Source organism: Homo sapiens, chromosome 1, assembly GCF_000001405.40.
Source record: "Homo sapiens chromosome 1, GRCh38.p14 Primary Assembly".
In the NCBI taxonomy this organism is placed as follows: Eukaryota; Metazoa; Chordata; class Mammalia; order Primates; family Hominidae; genus Homo; species Homo sapiens.
The window spans coordinates 197,697,980-197,714,652 of NC_000001.11; the positions used below are offsets into that span (position 1 = coordinate 197,697,980).

At 37.4% G+C, this 16,673-nt stretch overlaps 1 protein-coding gene across 16 annotated transcripts in view; it reads right to left on the bottom strand.

Moving 5' to 3' along the window:
* The window catches only part of DENND1B (DENN domain containing 1B), a 277,403-nt gene that overhangs the window by 193,232 nt on the left and 67,498 nt on the right, over positions 1-16,673 (bottom strand). The window lies entirely within an intron of this gene.

Sequence of the window (16,673 nt, forward strand, 5' to 3'; positions counted from 1 at the left end):
ATACCCCACTGTCAGTATTAGACAGATCAACAAGACAGAAAATTAACAAGGATGTTCAGGATGTGAACTCAGCTCTGGATCAAGTGGACCTGGTAGATGTCTACAGAACTGTCTACCCCAAATCAACAGAATATACATTCTTCTCAGTGCCACATCACACTTATTCTAAAATTGACCACATAATTGGAAGTAAAACATTCCTCAGCAAATGCAAAAGAACAGAAATCAAAACAGTCTCTCAGACCACAGTGCAATCAAATTAGAACTCAAGATTAAGACATTCACTCGAAACCCCACAATTACATGGAAATTGAACAACCTGCTCCTGAATGACTCCTGGGTACATAATGAATCAGGCAGAAATCAAGAAGTTCTTTGAAACCAATGAGAACAAAGAGACAACATACCAGAATCTCTGGTACATAGCGAAAGCAGTGTTAAGAGGAAAATTTATAGCACTAAATGGCCACATCAGAAAGCTAGAAAGATCTCAAATTGATGCCCTAACATCACAATTAAAAGAGCTAGAGAAGCAAGATCAAACTAATCCAAAAGCTAGCAGAAGACAAGAAATAACTAAGATCAGAGAAGAATTGAAGGAGATAGACACATGAAAAACTCACCAAAAAAAAAAAATCAATGAACCCAGAAGCTGTTTTTTTCTTTAAATTAACAAAACAGACCATTAGCTAGACTAATAAAGAAGGGAGAAGAATCATACAGACACAATGAAAAATGATAATGGGGATATCACCACTGATCCCACAGAAATACAAACTACCATCAGAGAATAATATAAACACCTCTATGCAAATAAACTAGAAAATCTAGAAGAAATGGATAAATTCCTGGACACATACACACTCCCAGGACTAAACCACGAAGAAGTCGAATCCCTGAATACACCAATAACAAGTTCTGAAATTGAGGCAGTAATTAATAGCCTACCAACCAAAAAAAGCCCAGGACCAGATGGATTCACAGCTGAATTCTACCAGAAATACAAAGAGGAGCTGGTACCATTCCTTCTGAAACTATTTCAAATAACTGAAAAGGAGGGACACCTCCCTAACTCATTTAATGAAGCCAGCATAATCCTGATACCAAAATCAGGAAGAGACACACAAAAAAAGGGAAAACTTCAGGCCAATATCCCCAATGAACACCAATGCGAAAAATCCTCAAAAAATACTGGCAAATCGAATCCAGCAGCACATCATAAAACATCCACCATGATCAAGTGAGCTTCATCCCTGGGATGCAAGGCTGGTTCAACATATGCAAATCAATAAATGTAATCCATCACATAAATGGAGCCAAAAACAAAAACCACACGATTATTTCAATAGATGCAGAAAAGGCCTTTGATAAAATTTGACATCCCTTCAGGTTAAAAACTCTCAATAAAATAAATATTGATGAAACATATTCCAAAATAATAAGAGTTATTTATGACAAACCCACAGCTAATATCACTGAATGGGCAAAAGCTGGAAACATTCCCTTTGAAAACTGGTACAAGACAAGGATGCCCTCTCTCACTACTCCTATTCAACACAGTATTGGATGTTCTGGCCAGGGCAATCAGGCAAGACAAAGAAATAAAGGGAACTCAAATAGGAAGAGAGGAAGTCAAACTACTGTGTCTGTTTACAGACAACATGATTTTATATTTAGAAAACCCCATCATCTCAGCCTAAAAACTCCTTAAACTGATAAGCAACTTCAGCAAAGTCTCAGGATACAAAATCAATGTGCAAATATCACAAAGTATTCCTTTACAAACTACCATCAGAGAATAATATAAACACCTCTATGCAAATAAACTAGAAATAACCAAGCAGAGAACCAAATAAATCATGAATGAACTCCCATTCACAATCACTACAAAGAGAATAAAATACTCAGGAATACAGCTAACAAGGGACGTGAAGGACCTCTTCAAGGAGAACTACAAACCACTGCTCAAGGAAATAAGAGAGGACACAAACAAACGGAAAAGCATTCCATCCTCATGAATAGGAAGAATCAATATCATGAAGATGGCCATACTGTCCAAAGTAATTTATAGATTCAATGTTATTTCCATCAAACTACCATTAAATTCTTCATAGAATTAGAAAAAAACTATTTTAAATTTCATACGGAATCAAAGGAGACTCCATAGAGCCAAGTAAAAAGTAAAACCCTAAGTAAAAAGAACAAAGTTGGAGGCATCACGCTACCTGACTTCAGACTGTATTACAAGGCTACAGTAACCAAAACAGCATGGTACTGGTACCAAAACAAACATATAGACCAATGGAACAGAAAAGAGACCTCAGAAATAACACCACACACCTACAACCATCTGATCTTTGGCAAACCTGACAAAAACAAGCAATGGGGAAAGGATCTCCTATTCAGGAGCTAGGAAAACTGGCTAGCCATATGCAGAAAACTGAAACTGGACCACTGCCTTACACCTTATACAAAAATTAACTCAAGATGGATTAAAGATTTAAATGTAAAACCAAAAACCATAAAAACTCTAGAAGAAAACCTAGGCAATATCATTCAGGACACAGACATGGGCAAAGACTTCATGACAAAAACAACTTCAACAAAAGCCAAAATTGATAAATGAGATGTAATTAAACTAACAGAAAAAGAAACTATCATCAGAATGAACAGGCAACCTACAGAATGGGAGAAAATTTTTGCAATCCACCTATCTGGCAAACGTCTAATATCCAGAATTTACAAGGAACTTAAACAAATTTACAAGAAAAAACAACCCCATCAAAAAGTAGGCAAAGGATATCAACAGACACTACTCAAAAGAAGACATTTATGCAGCCAACAAACGAGAAAAAGCTTAACATCACTGATCACCACAGAAATGCAAATCAAAACCACAATGGGATACCATCTCACGACAGTCAGCATGGTAATTATTAAAAAGTCAGGAAACAATAGATGCTGGCGAGGCTGTGGAGAAACAGGAATGCTTTGTTGGTGGGAATGTAAATTAGTTCAACCATTGTAGAAGACAGTGTGGTGATTCCTCAAGGATCTAGAACCAGAAATAACCATTTGACCCAGCAATCCCACTACTAAGCATATACCCAAAGGAATATAAATCATTCTACTATAAAGACACACGTACACATTTGTTTGTTGCAGCACTATTTACAATAGCAAAGACATGGAACCAACCCAAATGCCCATCAATGATAGACTGGATAAAGAAAATGTGGTACATATACACCATGGAATACTATACTGCCATACAAAGGAATGAGATAATGTCCTTTGCAGGGACATGGATGAAGCTGGAAGCCATCTTCCTCAGCAAACTAACACAGGAACAGAAAACCAAACACCGTATTTTCTCACTTATAAGTGGGAGTTGAACAATGAGAATACATGGATACAGAAAGGGGGACAACACACACCAGGGCCCATTCGGGGGCCAGGGGTGAGGGGAAGGAACTTAGCGGACAGGTGAATAGATGCAGCAAACCACCCTGGCACATGTATGCCTATGTAACAAACCTGCAGGTTCTGTACTTGTATCCCCCCCTTCCCCGGCTTTTTTTTTTTAAGAAAGAAGATAGAAGAAGAAAGAAGAAAGAAAAAGGAGAAAAGCCAGAACAGCTCACATCTGATTCCCAGTCCAATCTTCCTTCTCCTAACAGACTTCTGGAGGGCAAGAACCACATCGTCTTCTTTACAGCTTTATTGTGCCAGACAAGCACCTTTCAAAGTACTCTACGAGTAATTTTAAATTCTTAAGACAACTAGAGCTACATGCTAATTGCCTAGGCTATGTTCATTTGTTTAAAATTTGGTAAAATTTTTCATCTCTAATTTAAGAGTAACAATCAAAAATATAACTTAAAATACCTTAAAAATATAGCATTACTTTTATAATTCTTACAATTTTTCTACATATCTATTCACTCTGTTTATTATACACAGTATAACTAAAAACACCACCAAAAATATTGATGCTTGTGAGACCGTATGTCTATATTTCATAAAGACCTTTGCTCTTGTGTTAGTATGAAATGTTTCCCTATCTCTGGAGTCTATCAATAAAGTAGATTATAAAGCCTCATAAATTAAAGACACTGTTCTGACTAACTTCTAGAGAGAAATGTACACAAACAGAATATTCCCAAAACATCTATAAAATAGGAAGTTGAACTTCTAATATTTCAAATGAGCTAGACTTTCAAAATAATTATTAGAGGATTCAAATTCACATTATTAAGGTAAATCTTTAGAAAACTCAAGTTTTATAACTTTGGCTTAATAAAAATAGCCATGTCTTCTCTGATTTAATAATGTTAAGGACAGAGCAAGTACACATTTTATTCTACTTGGGTATGTTTTTTCCAAATGTATACAAGTTATTGAACTAATAAGCAACTATGACACGTTAAGGTTATATAACATGTAAATTTCTATTTAACCAAACTTAATCACTATTCTGGAAAACTTTATGTCAGCAGTGATTATATTATGTAGTACATCTACTTGAATATAATTTCCAAAATCTTTAGGTAACCAAAATGTGGAATTGATATTAAATTGACTTAATCAATGGATAATTCCTCAGAATGCTAAAACATTAATTACTAAGCACAATTTGTCTATATACTTTTTCTTCTTATTTTTGTATGCCATCAAAAGGCAATTGAGTTATGTTAACAAATGTGTTCACTTTTCCTATTTTACTAAAACATAAAAGAGATATGGGCAGCTCTGGCAGTCTGTTAAAATGCTTGTGTATGACTGAAAGTTCTCAATCATCTACCCCTCAAGTGTTGTTGTTGTTGTTGTTTTCCTGTAAGACATTAGTTACTTAGATTAAAAGTTGTAATTATAATACTATGAGTGTTTAAGACTAAACTAGGGGCAACAGTGTCAAAGAAACAACTGAGTATATACTTTTGTTTTTTAAAGAGAAAGAATTATTTTGCCCTAAATCAGCAGTTCACTTCAGCTTTGCTTTTTTTGTTGTTTTGTTTTTATTTTTGAGATAGGGTCTCACTCTGTCGCCTGGGCTGGAGTGCAGTAGCAGCATCTCAGCTCACTGCAACCTCCGCCTCCCTGGTTCAAGTAATTCTCCTGCCTCAGTCTCCCAAGTAGCTGGGATTACAGGCCTGCACCACCAGGCCCGGCTAATTGTTTTGTTTTTAGTAGAGACAGGGTTTCACCAGTTGGCCAGGTTGGTCTCAAACTCCTGACTTCAAGTGATCTGCCTGCCTAGGCCTCCAAAGTGCTGGGATTATACACGTGAGCCACAGCACTCGGCCCACTTCAGCTTTGCTTTTACAAAAAAAAGAAAAAAGAAAGAAAGAACAAAAAAAAAACACCTCTATACTCCTTTTCTTTATTGGGACTTATTAGGGACCCTGGAGAGCTGTTGTTCATGTATAACTATTGAAATGTATTATATTAGAAATTAAACTTGAAACATTTTTTAAGAGGTATGGATCCATATAATAGCAATCATGAATCTGTTGGATGTTAACACAAATACCATAAATGATTATGGTATTACTTTTCATCATCATCATTTTGACTTTGCAGACCTCTGAGATGTCTTAAAGTGTTTGGTCTTGAACATGAGCACACAAGGGAATAAAATGTGATTTTTGTCTTGTTTGATAATATCTGATTCTAAAAAGAAGCTACAAAAATTGTTAAAATAAACTTCAATCAATTTTGATGGGTTTGCTTCCCTGGCTTACTGATTAATTTTTTTGCCTACAATAACAAAGTTATTCCTACCTCTGGCAATTCTCAAATTTGAATATTCACACTTTTTTATTTTCTTAGGTTGCAAACATTCTCCATTCTTTTCAAATCTCTGATGCCTCCTCTCTTCACTCACATAGAAAATTGTTCAACATTTCTTGAAATGATAAAAATCAAACTCATCCTCTCTTCTTTAGTTTTCTCCATCTCTCTCCAGTCCCTCAAAAATAAACTTTTTGGTCAGACTCATGCCTGTAATCCCAGGACTCTGGGAGACCAAGGTGGAAAAAATCACTTGAACCCAGGAGTTCACGACCAGCCTGGGCAATAGGGTGAGACCCCATCTCTACAAAAAATAAAAAACATTAGCCAGAAGTGGTGGTACATGCCTGTAGTCCTAGCCACTTTGGTGGCTGGGGTGGGAGGATTGCTTGAGGTTGAGATGGGAGGATCGCTTCAGTCTGGGAGCCAGTCATGAGGGCACTACTGCACTCCAGCCTGTGCAACAGGTTAAGAAACTGCCTCAATCAATCAATAAAAAATAAAAATTGTTTTCATGCAATCTCTTTTTTCCCTCACACTTATACTCTTTTCCATTCCTAATGTAACTGACTATTTCAGATCCTTCTTACTTTTCACTGAACTACTAAAATAACTACCAAACTAATTTCCTCGCCTCTAGTTTCTACCAAAACCAATCCATACTGAAATCTCTCCCACTTGAAGGACCAACTCTTTAGCAAGGCAAACTGTGCCAAAACCTAGCTCATTTACTTTTATAGTTTTATCTCCCAATACTCTCCTGTACAAAACCCTCCACTGTATCAAAAAAAGAAAAAATATATAATCAAAGCTCCTGAAATGCCATGTCAGTTGTCCCACTGGTTCCTCAATTGCCAAAAGAAGGAAAACATACTGCGAGAAGCGTATAATAAACCAGTGCCTACGGGTACTAACAACTCCATGTTATGAAAAATGGATTGATATTATTTCTTTGGACTAAATTACATATTGCTTTTAAATTCTAAAGATACCAAGAGAAAAATTATTACAATAATCTTTTTTAAGGGAGCTAAAATAAGTGAGGTAAGTTTGAGACAACATTCCAAGCAGAAAAAAAAAAATAAAGCTAAAAATTTAAGAGTAAACGCTTTTGAGTCAGACAAACATGTCTTCAAATCTTAGCTCTGCCTCTTACAAGCACTGTGACCTCAGGTAAGTTTCTTACTTAAGACTCAGTTCAGGTATAATACTATCTCCTATTAGCCCTGGGAGGATTTAAAAATAAAATGAAGTATGCACATAAAGCACCTAGTATAGTGCCCAGTGCATGGTAAGAGTGAAACAAAGAGCTTTTTAAGATTATAATTACTGAGGTAGCCGCACATCCAGAGAAAAGGCTAGTTAAGGAGAATGCAGTTGGTAGAGAAAAGCAGTAAAAGGGAAAAGGGTTAAGAAATATACACAGAGTACTTGTCTCTTCTGTACAATTCAATAAATTCCCTAAAAAGTATATAGCAAAACAATTATTCAAGGCCCTTGACTAGATTCCCATGTAAAGCTTGATTTCTTTAGATGTAAAATGACATAGATACACAAAATGGTATCTAAAGTTCCTTTCAGCTCTAACCTTCAAGAAGGCTATAAGAATTGTTGTAAACTAGAATCCTAAGAGTTATGAATGTTCACCACCATTACATGGTTAAGCGCTTCTGTATTTCACTAAGCATATGAGGGCTTATTGATGTCCCAGTGATCTCACAATTTCAGAAACAGAACAACAATTAAGCCCCAAATGAAAAAAATCCAAGCTGGACCTGACAAGTACATTATCACTCTCATGTGAACCCAAAGTTAGCAGTCTTCAGAACCCCTAAAAATGCTCAGAGGCAGTTTATAAAGTAAAAGGTAGAAATTTAAAAAAAAAAAAAAAAGACCTGAACAGGAATAGGAGGTTTGTAATTGGTTGAACAGACAAGACAGAATTGAGAAGACTAAAATATATATATATATATATTGGAATGGTAAAATGAGTGAGCAAGGCTCTAGTCTAACTACAAGCTATTTGAGAACAAACGCAAACTTCTTATTCCCAAGTCATGTCTTCACTGTAGGGAGTTCTTTTACATACTTAAGATATTTATAAATCTAAAAAGCTAAAATCAAATTATAATTCTATACCCTCTTTTTATGTGAAACCATGGTCAAAGGTTGTACTAGACGTAATTAATATTTATCACGCCCATTTATCAGACTTTTTGAGTGTAATTTCTAAGTCAGATTGACTTTCACATCTAAAAAAGTATTCTTTCATGTTTATTCAAAATCACATGTCTGTAGGCTTATTTCTGAATGAACTGCTTTAAACACATACTTTTATCAGCTTTCATGTTTGCAAATGGTGAGAACTCCATCTGTGGACTTAAATTATAGCTAAGTTTGTGTATTCTGAATTTAACAGTGACAAGACTGTCTTATCCCATTTATTTGAAGACATAAGAAAGGAACCTGCTCATCAGGCATCCAGCAAAAAGTACTTATTTCTATCAAAACTTAAATTTGTATAATATAAAACCTGGAATAATGCGTGAAGCTAGTAGGACAAAACATAGGATAAACACTTCAGGATGTTGCGTTGGGCAAAGATTTCATAAAGAAAACCTTAAAAGCACAGGCAACAGAAGCAGAAATAGACAAATGAGATTATATCAAACTAAAAAGCTTCGGCACAGCCAAAGGAACAACCAACAGACTGAAGAGACAACCAACAGAATGGGAGAATGTATACGTAAACTAATCATCTGACAAATTATTAAGATCCAGAATATACAAGGAACTCAAACAACAGCAAAAACACAAACAATACAATTTTAAAATGGGCAAATGAGCTGAATAGACATCTCTCAAGAAAAGACATAAAAATGGCCAACAGGCACATCAAACAATCTCAGCATCACTAATCATCAGGGAAATGCAAATCAAAACCACAAAGAGTTATCATCTCACCCCAGTTACAATAGTTATCATCAAAGAGACAAAAACTAACAAATGCTGGCAAGGAGGCAGAGAAAGGGGAACTCCACACACTGTTGGTGGGAATGTAAATTAGCATAGCAATTATATAAAAAATAGTATGGAAGTTCCTCAAAAAACTAAAAACAGAACTATCATATGATCCAGCAATCCCACTACTGGGTATATATCCAAACGAAAGAAAATCAGTATACCAAAGAGATACATGTTTATTGCAACACAAGAGCCAAGATATGGAATCAACCTAAGTGTCCATAAACAAATGAATGGATTAAAAAATATGGTATACATACAAAATGGAATACTATTCAACTATAAAAAAAGAACAAAATCCTGTCATTCATGGCAACACAGATGGGCTTGGAGGATATTATGTTAAGTGAAATAAGTCAGGCACAGAAAGACAGATGTCTCATGTTCTCACTCATATTGGAAGCTTAAAAAATTGATCTCATAGAAGTAGAGTAGAATAGTGGTTACTAGAGGCTGAGAAGGGCAGGCAGGGGCTTGGGGCTGATAGCCAGAGGTTAGTTAATGGATCCAAAATGACAGCTAGATAGATAGGAGGAATGGTGTTCTAGTGTTCTATAACACTGTAGGGTGATTATAATTAACAAGAATTTATCACATATTTTCAAATAGCTAGAAGAGCAGATTTTGAATAATCCCAGTGAAAGAAATGATAAAAGTTTGAGGTGATGGATATGCTGATTACCCTGATTTGATCATTACATATTGTATACATGTATCAAAATATCACATATATGTATAATATCTATATCATTATCACCCATATATATGTGTAATTATATGCATATATTTATATACATATATTATATACATATATATACATATATAATATAATACATATATTATATAATATACATATATTATATACATATATAATATAATAATATAATATAATATAATATAATTATTATATTAAAATCAGAGGGAGGAGCCAAGATGGCCGAATAGGAACAGCTCCGGTCTACAGCTCCCAGCGTGAGCGACGCAGAAGACGGGTGATTTCTGCATTTCCATCTGAGGTACCGGGTTCATCTCACTAGGGAGTGCCAGACAGTGGGCGCAGGCCAGTGTGTGTGCGCACCGTGCGCGAGCCGAAGCAGGGCGAGGCATTGCCTCACCTGGGAAGCGCAAGGGGTCAGGGAGTTCCCTTTCCAAGTCAAAGAAAGGGGTGACGGCCGCACCCGGAAAATCAGGTCACTCCCACCCGAATATTGCGCTTTTCAGACCGGCTTAAGAAACGGCGCACCACGAGACTATATCCCACACCTGGCTCAGAGGGTCCTACGCCCACGGAATCGCGCTGATTGCTAGCACAGCAGTCTGAGATCAAACTGCAAGGCGGCAACGAGGCTGGGGGAGGGGCGCCCGCCATTGCCCAGGCTTGCTTAGGTAAACAAAGCAGCCGGGAAGCTCGAACTGGGTGGAGCCCACCACAGCTCAAGGAGGCCTGCCTGCCTCTGTAGGCTCCACCTCTGGGGGCAGGGCACAGACAAACAAAAAGACAGCAGTAACCTCTGCAGACTTAAGTGTCCCTGTCTGACAGCTTTGAAGAGAGCAGTGGTTCTCCCAGCACGCAGCTGGAGATCTGAGAACGGGCAGACTGCCTCCTCAAGTGGGTCCCTGACCCCTGACCCCCGAGCAGCCTAACTGGGAGGCACCCCCCAGCAGGGGCACACTGACACCTCACACAGCAGGGTATTCCAACAGACCTGCAGCTGAGGGTCCTGTCTGTTAGAAGGAAAACTAACAACCAGAAAGGACATCTACACCGAAAACCCATCTGTACATCACCATCATCAAAGACCAAAAGTAGATAAAACCACAAAGATGGGGAAAAAACAGAACAGAAAAACTGGAAACTCTAAAACGCAGAGCGCCTCTCCTCCTCCAAAGGAACGCAGTTCCTCACCAGCAACAGAACAAAGCTGGATGGAGAATGATTTTGACGAGCTGAGAGAAGAAGGCTTCAGACGATCAAATTACTCTGAGCTACGGGAGGACATTCAAACCAAAGGCAAAGAAGTTGAAAACTTTGAAAAAAATTTAGAAGAATGTATAACTAGAATAACCAATACAGAGAAGTGCTTAAAGGAGCTGATGGAGCTGAAAACCAAGGCTCGAGAACTACGTGAAGAATGCAGAAGCCTCAGGAGCCGATGCAATCAACTGGAAGAAAGGGTATCAGCAATGGAAGATGAAATGAATGAAATGAAGCGAGAAGGGAAGTTTAGAGAAAAAAGAATAAAAAGAAATGAGCAAAGCCTCCAAGAAATATGGGACTATGTGAAAAGACCAAATCTACGTCTGATTGGTGTACCTGAAAGTGATGGGGAGAATGGAACCAAGTTGGAAAACACTCTGCAGGATATTATCCAGGAGAACTTCCCCAATCTAGCAAGGCAGGCCAACGTTCAGATTCAGGAAATTCAGAGAACGCCACAAAGATACTCCTCGAGAAGAGCAACTCCAAGACACATAATTGTCAGATTCACCAAAGTTGAAATGAAGGAAAAAATGTTAAGGGCAGCCAGAGAGAAAGGTCGGGTTACCCTCAAAGGGAAGCCCATCAGACTAACAGCGGATCTCTCGGCAGAAACCCTACAAGCCAGAAGAGAGTGGGGGCCAATATTCAACATTCTTAAAGAAAAGAATTTTCAATCCAGAATTTCATATCCAGCCAAACTAAGCTTCATAAGTGAAGGAGAAATAAAATACTTTATAGACAAGCAAATGCTGAGAGATTTTGTCACCACCAGGCCTGCCCTAAAAGAGCTCCTGAAGGAAGCGCTAAACATGGAAAGGAACAACCGGTACCAGCCGCTGCAAAATCATGCCAAAATGTAAAGACCATCGAGACTAGGAAGAAACTGCATCAACTAATGAGCAAAATCACCAGCTAACATCATAATGACAGGATCAAATTCACACATAACAATATTAACTTTAAATATAAATGGACTAAATTCTGCAATTAAAAGACACAGACTGGCAAGTTGGATAAAGAGTCAACACCCATCAGTGTGCTGTATTCAGGAAACCCATCTCACGTGCAGAGACACACATAGGCTCAAAATAAAAGGATGGCGGAAGATCTACCAAGCCAATGGAAAACAAAAAAAGGCAGGGGTTGCAATCCTAGTCTCTGATAAAACAGACTTTAAACCAACAAAGATCAAAAGAGACAAAGAAGGCCATTACATAATGGTAAAGGGATCAATTCAACAAGAGGAGCTAACTATCCTAAATATTTATGCACCCAATACAGGAGCACCCAGATTCATAAAGCAAGTCCTGAGTGACCTACAAAGAGACTTAGACTCCCACACATTAATAATGGGAGACTTTAACACCCCACTGTCAACATTAGACAGATCAACGAGACAGAAAGTCAACAAGGATACCCAGGAATTGAACTCAGCTCTGCACCAAGCAGACCTAATAGACATCTACAGAACTCTCCACCCCAAATCAACAGAATATACATTTTTTTCAGCACCACACCACACCTATTCCAAAATTGACCACATAGTTGGAAGTAAAGCTCTCCTCAGCAAATGTAAAAGAACAGAAATTATAACAAACTATCTCTCAGACCACAGTGCAATCAAACTAGAACTCAAGATTAAGAATCTCACTCAAAGCCGCTCAACTACATGGAAACTCAACAACCTGCTCCTGAATGACTACTGGGTACATAACGAAATGAAGGCAGAAATAAAGATGTTCTTTGAAACCAACGAGAACAAAGACACCACATACCAGAATCTCTGGGACGCATTCAAAGCAGTGTGTAGAGGGAAATTTATAGCACTAAATGCCTACAAGAGAAAGCAGGAAAGATCCAAAATTGACACCCTAACATCACAATTAAAAGAACTAGAAAAGCAAGAGCAAACACATTCAAAAGCTAGCAGAAGGCAAGAAATAACTAAAATCAGAGCAGAACTGAAGGAAATAGAGACACAAAAAACCCTTCAAAAAATCAATGAATCCAGGAGCTGGTTTTTTTGAAAGGATCAACAAAATTGATAGACCGCTAGCAAGACTAATAAAGAAAAAAAGAGAGAAGAATCAAATAGACACAATAAAAAATGATAAAGGGGATATCACCACCGATCCCACAGAAATACAAACTACCATCAGAGAATACTACAAACACCTCTACGCAAATAAACTAGAAAATCTAGAAGAAATGGATACATTCCTCGACACATACACTCTCCCAAGACTAAACCAGGAAGAAGTTGAATCTCTGAATAGACCAATAACAGGCTCTGAAATTGTGGCAATAATCAATAGTTTACCAACCAAAAAGAGTCCAGGACCAGATGGATTCACAGCCGAATTCTACCAGAGGTACAAGGAGGAACTGGTACCATTCCTTCTGAAACTATTCCAATCAATAGAAAAAGAGGGAATCCTCCCTAACTCATTTTATGAGGCCAGCATCATTCTGATACCAAAGCCGGGCAGAGACACAACCAAAAAAGAGAATTTTAGACCAATATCCTTGATGAACACTGATGCAAAAATCCTCAATAAAATACTGGCAAACCGAATCCAGCAGCACATCAAAAAGCTTATCCACCATGATCAAGTGGGCTTCATCCCTGGGATGCAAGGCTGGTTCAATATACGCAAATCAATAAATGTAATCCAGCATATAAACACAGCCAAAGACAAAAACCACATGATTATCTCAATAGATGCAGAAAAAGCCTTTGACAAAATTCAACAACCCTTCATGCTAAAAACTCTCAATAAATTAGGTATTGATGGGACGTATTTCAAAATAATAAGAGCTATCTATGACAAACCCACAGCCAATATCATACTGAATGGGCAAAAACTGGAAGCATTCCCTTTGAAAACTGGCACAAGACAGGGATGCCCTCTCTCACCGCTCCTATTCAACATAGTGTTGGAAGTTCTGGCCAGGGCAATCAGGCAGCAGAAGGAAATAAAGGGTATTCAATTAGGAAAAGAGGAAGTCAAATTGTCCCTGTTTGCAGACGACATGATTGTTTATCTAGAAAACCCCATCGTCTCAGCCCAAAATCTCCTTAAGCTGATAAGCAACTTCAGCAAAGTCTCAGGATACAAAATCAATGTACAAAAATCACAAGCATTCTTATACACCAACAACAGACAAACAGAGAGCCAAATCATGAGTGAACTCCCATTCACAATTGCTTCAAAGAGAATAAAATACCTAGGAATCCAACTTACAAAGGATGTGAAGGACCTCTTCAAGGAGAACTACAAACCACTGCTCAAGGAAATAAAAGAGGACACAAACAAATGGAAGAACATTCCATGCTCATGGGTAGGAAGAATCAATATCGTGAAAATGGCCATACTGCCCAAGGTAATTTACAGATTCAATGCCATCCCCATCAAGCTACCAATGACTTTCTTCACAGAATTGGAAAAAACTACTCTAAAGTTCATATGGAACCAAAAAAGAGCCCGCATCGCCAAGTCAATCCTAAGCCAAAAGAACAAAGCTGGAGGCATCACACTACCTGACTTCAAACTATACTACAAGGCTACAGTAACCAAAACAGCATGGTACTGGTACCAAAACAGAGATATAGATCAATGGAACAGAACAGAGCCCTCAGAAATAATGCCGCATATCTACAACTATCTGATCTTTGACAAACCTGAGAAAAACAAGCAATGGGGAAAGGATTCCCTATTTAATAAATGGTGCTGGGAAAACTGGCTAGCCATATGTAGAAAGCTGAAACTGGATCCCTTCCTTACACCTTATACAAAAATCAATTCAAGATGGATTAAAGATTTAAACGTTAGACCTAAAACCATAAAAACCCTAGAAGAAAACCTAGGCATTACCATTCAGGACATAGGAGTGGGCAAGGACTTCATGTCCAAAACACCAAAAGCAATGGCAACAAAAGCCAAAATTGACAAATGGGATCTAATTAAACTCAAGAGCTTCTGCACAGCAAAAGAAACTACCATCAGAGTGAACAGGCAACCTACAACATGGGAGAAAATTTTCGCAACCTACTCATCTGACAAAGGGCTAATATCCAGAATCTACAATGAACTCAAACAAATTTACAAGAAAAAAACAAACAACCCCATCAAAAAGTGGGCGAAGGACATGAACAGACACTTCTCAAAAGAAGACATTTATGCAGCCAAAAAACACATGAAGAAATGCTCATCATCACTGGCCATCAGAGAAATGCAAATCAAAACCACTATGAGATATCATCTCACACCAGTTAGAATGGCAATCATTAAAAAGTCAGGAAACAACAGGTGCTGGAGAGGATGTGGAGAAATAGGAACACTTTTACACTGTTGGTGGGACTGTAAACTAGTTCAACCATTGTGGAAGTCAGTGTGGCGATTCCTCAGGGATCTAGAACTAGAAATACCATTTGACCCAGCCATCCCATTACTGGGTATATACCCAAAGGACTATAAATCATGCTGCTAAAAAGACACATGCACACGTATGTTTATTGCGGCACTATTCACAATAGCAAAGACTTGGAACCAACCCAAATGTCCAACAATGATAGACTGGATTAAGAAAATGTGGCACATATACACCATGGAATACTATGCAGCCATAAAAAATGATGAGTTCATGTCCTTTGTAGGGACGTGGATGAAATTGGAAACCATCATTCTCAGTAAACTATCGCAAGAACAAAAAACCAAACACCGCATATTCTCACTCATAGGTGGGAATTGAACAATGAGATCACATGGACACAGGAAGGGGAATATCACACTCTGGGGACTGTGGTGGGGTCGGGGGAGGGGGGAGGGATAGCATTGGGAGATATACCTAATGCTAGATGACACGTTAGTGGGTGCAGCGCACCAGCATGGCACATGTATACATATGTAACTAACCTGCACAATGTGCACATGTACTCTAAAACTTAGAGTATAATAAAAAAAAAAAATTAAAAAAAAAATAATTATATTATATTATTATATTATATTATAATATTATTATATTATAATATATTATATATAATATATTATATATAATATATTATATTATATTATTATAATATATTATATATAACTATTGTTATATATAATATATAATATATTATATAATATATTATATGCATATAATATATACATATATTATATACATATACACCAATAATAAATATCACCCATATATATGTATAATTATATATCTTTTTTTTTTTTTTGGGACGGAGTCTCACATTGGTTGCCCAGGCACGATCTCGGCTCACTGCAACCTCCACTTCCCAGGTTCAAGTGATTCTCCTGCCTCAGCCTCCCAAGTAGCTGAGATTACAGGCGCACGCCACCACACACGGCTGTTTTGTATTTTTAGCAGAGACGAGGTTTCACCATGTTAGTCAGGCTGGTCTCGAACTCCTGACCTCATGATCTGCCCGCCTCAGCCTCCCAAAGTGCTAGGATTACAGGCGTGAGCCACTGTACCCAGCCTTATCAATTTTTAAAAAGCAAAAAATTGGCAAAAAAATCCTTAAATCTGTATTATTTACCATATATTACATATAAAGCAACATCAAAATGATAAATCTATAACATAAAGTTTAAATGATTTTTCTATTTACATATATCATGTAAAACTACTGCATCATTTTGGTCATACTAAATATTTGAGGAACTACAGAAGACTATAACATAAAATGCAAATGGAATAAATTCATCCAGTAGTCTTGCATGCCATATTTTTTAAAGAAAGTAAAGCTATAGGTAAGAACTATTTTAAAATAAAAAAAGTGATAATTCAACTTCTATATGTAAATGACTCAGATACTACTGTGACAAGGAGAGAACTGATCACTTATTTATGGCAGTAA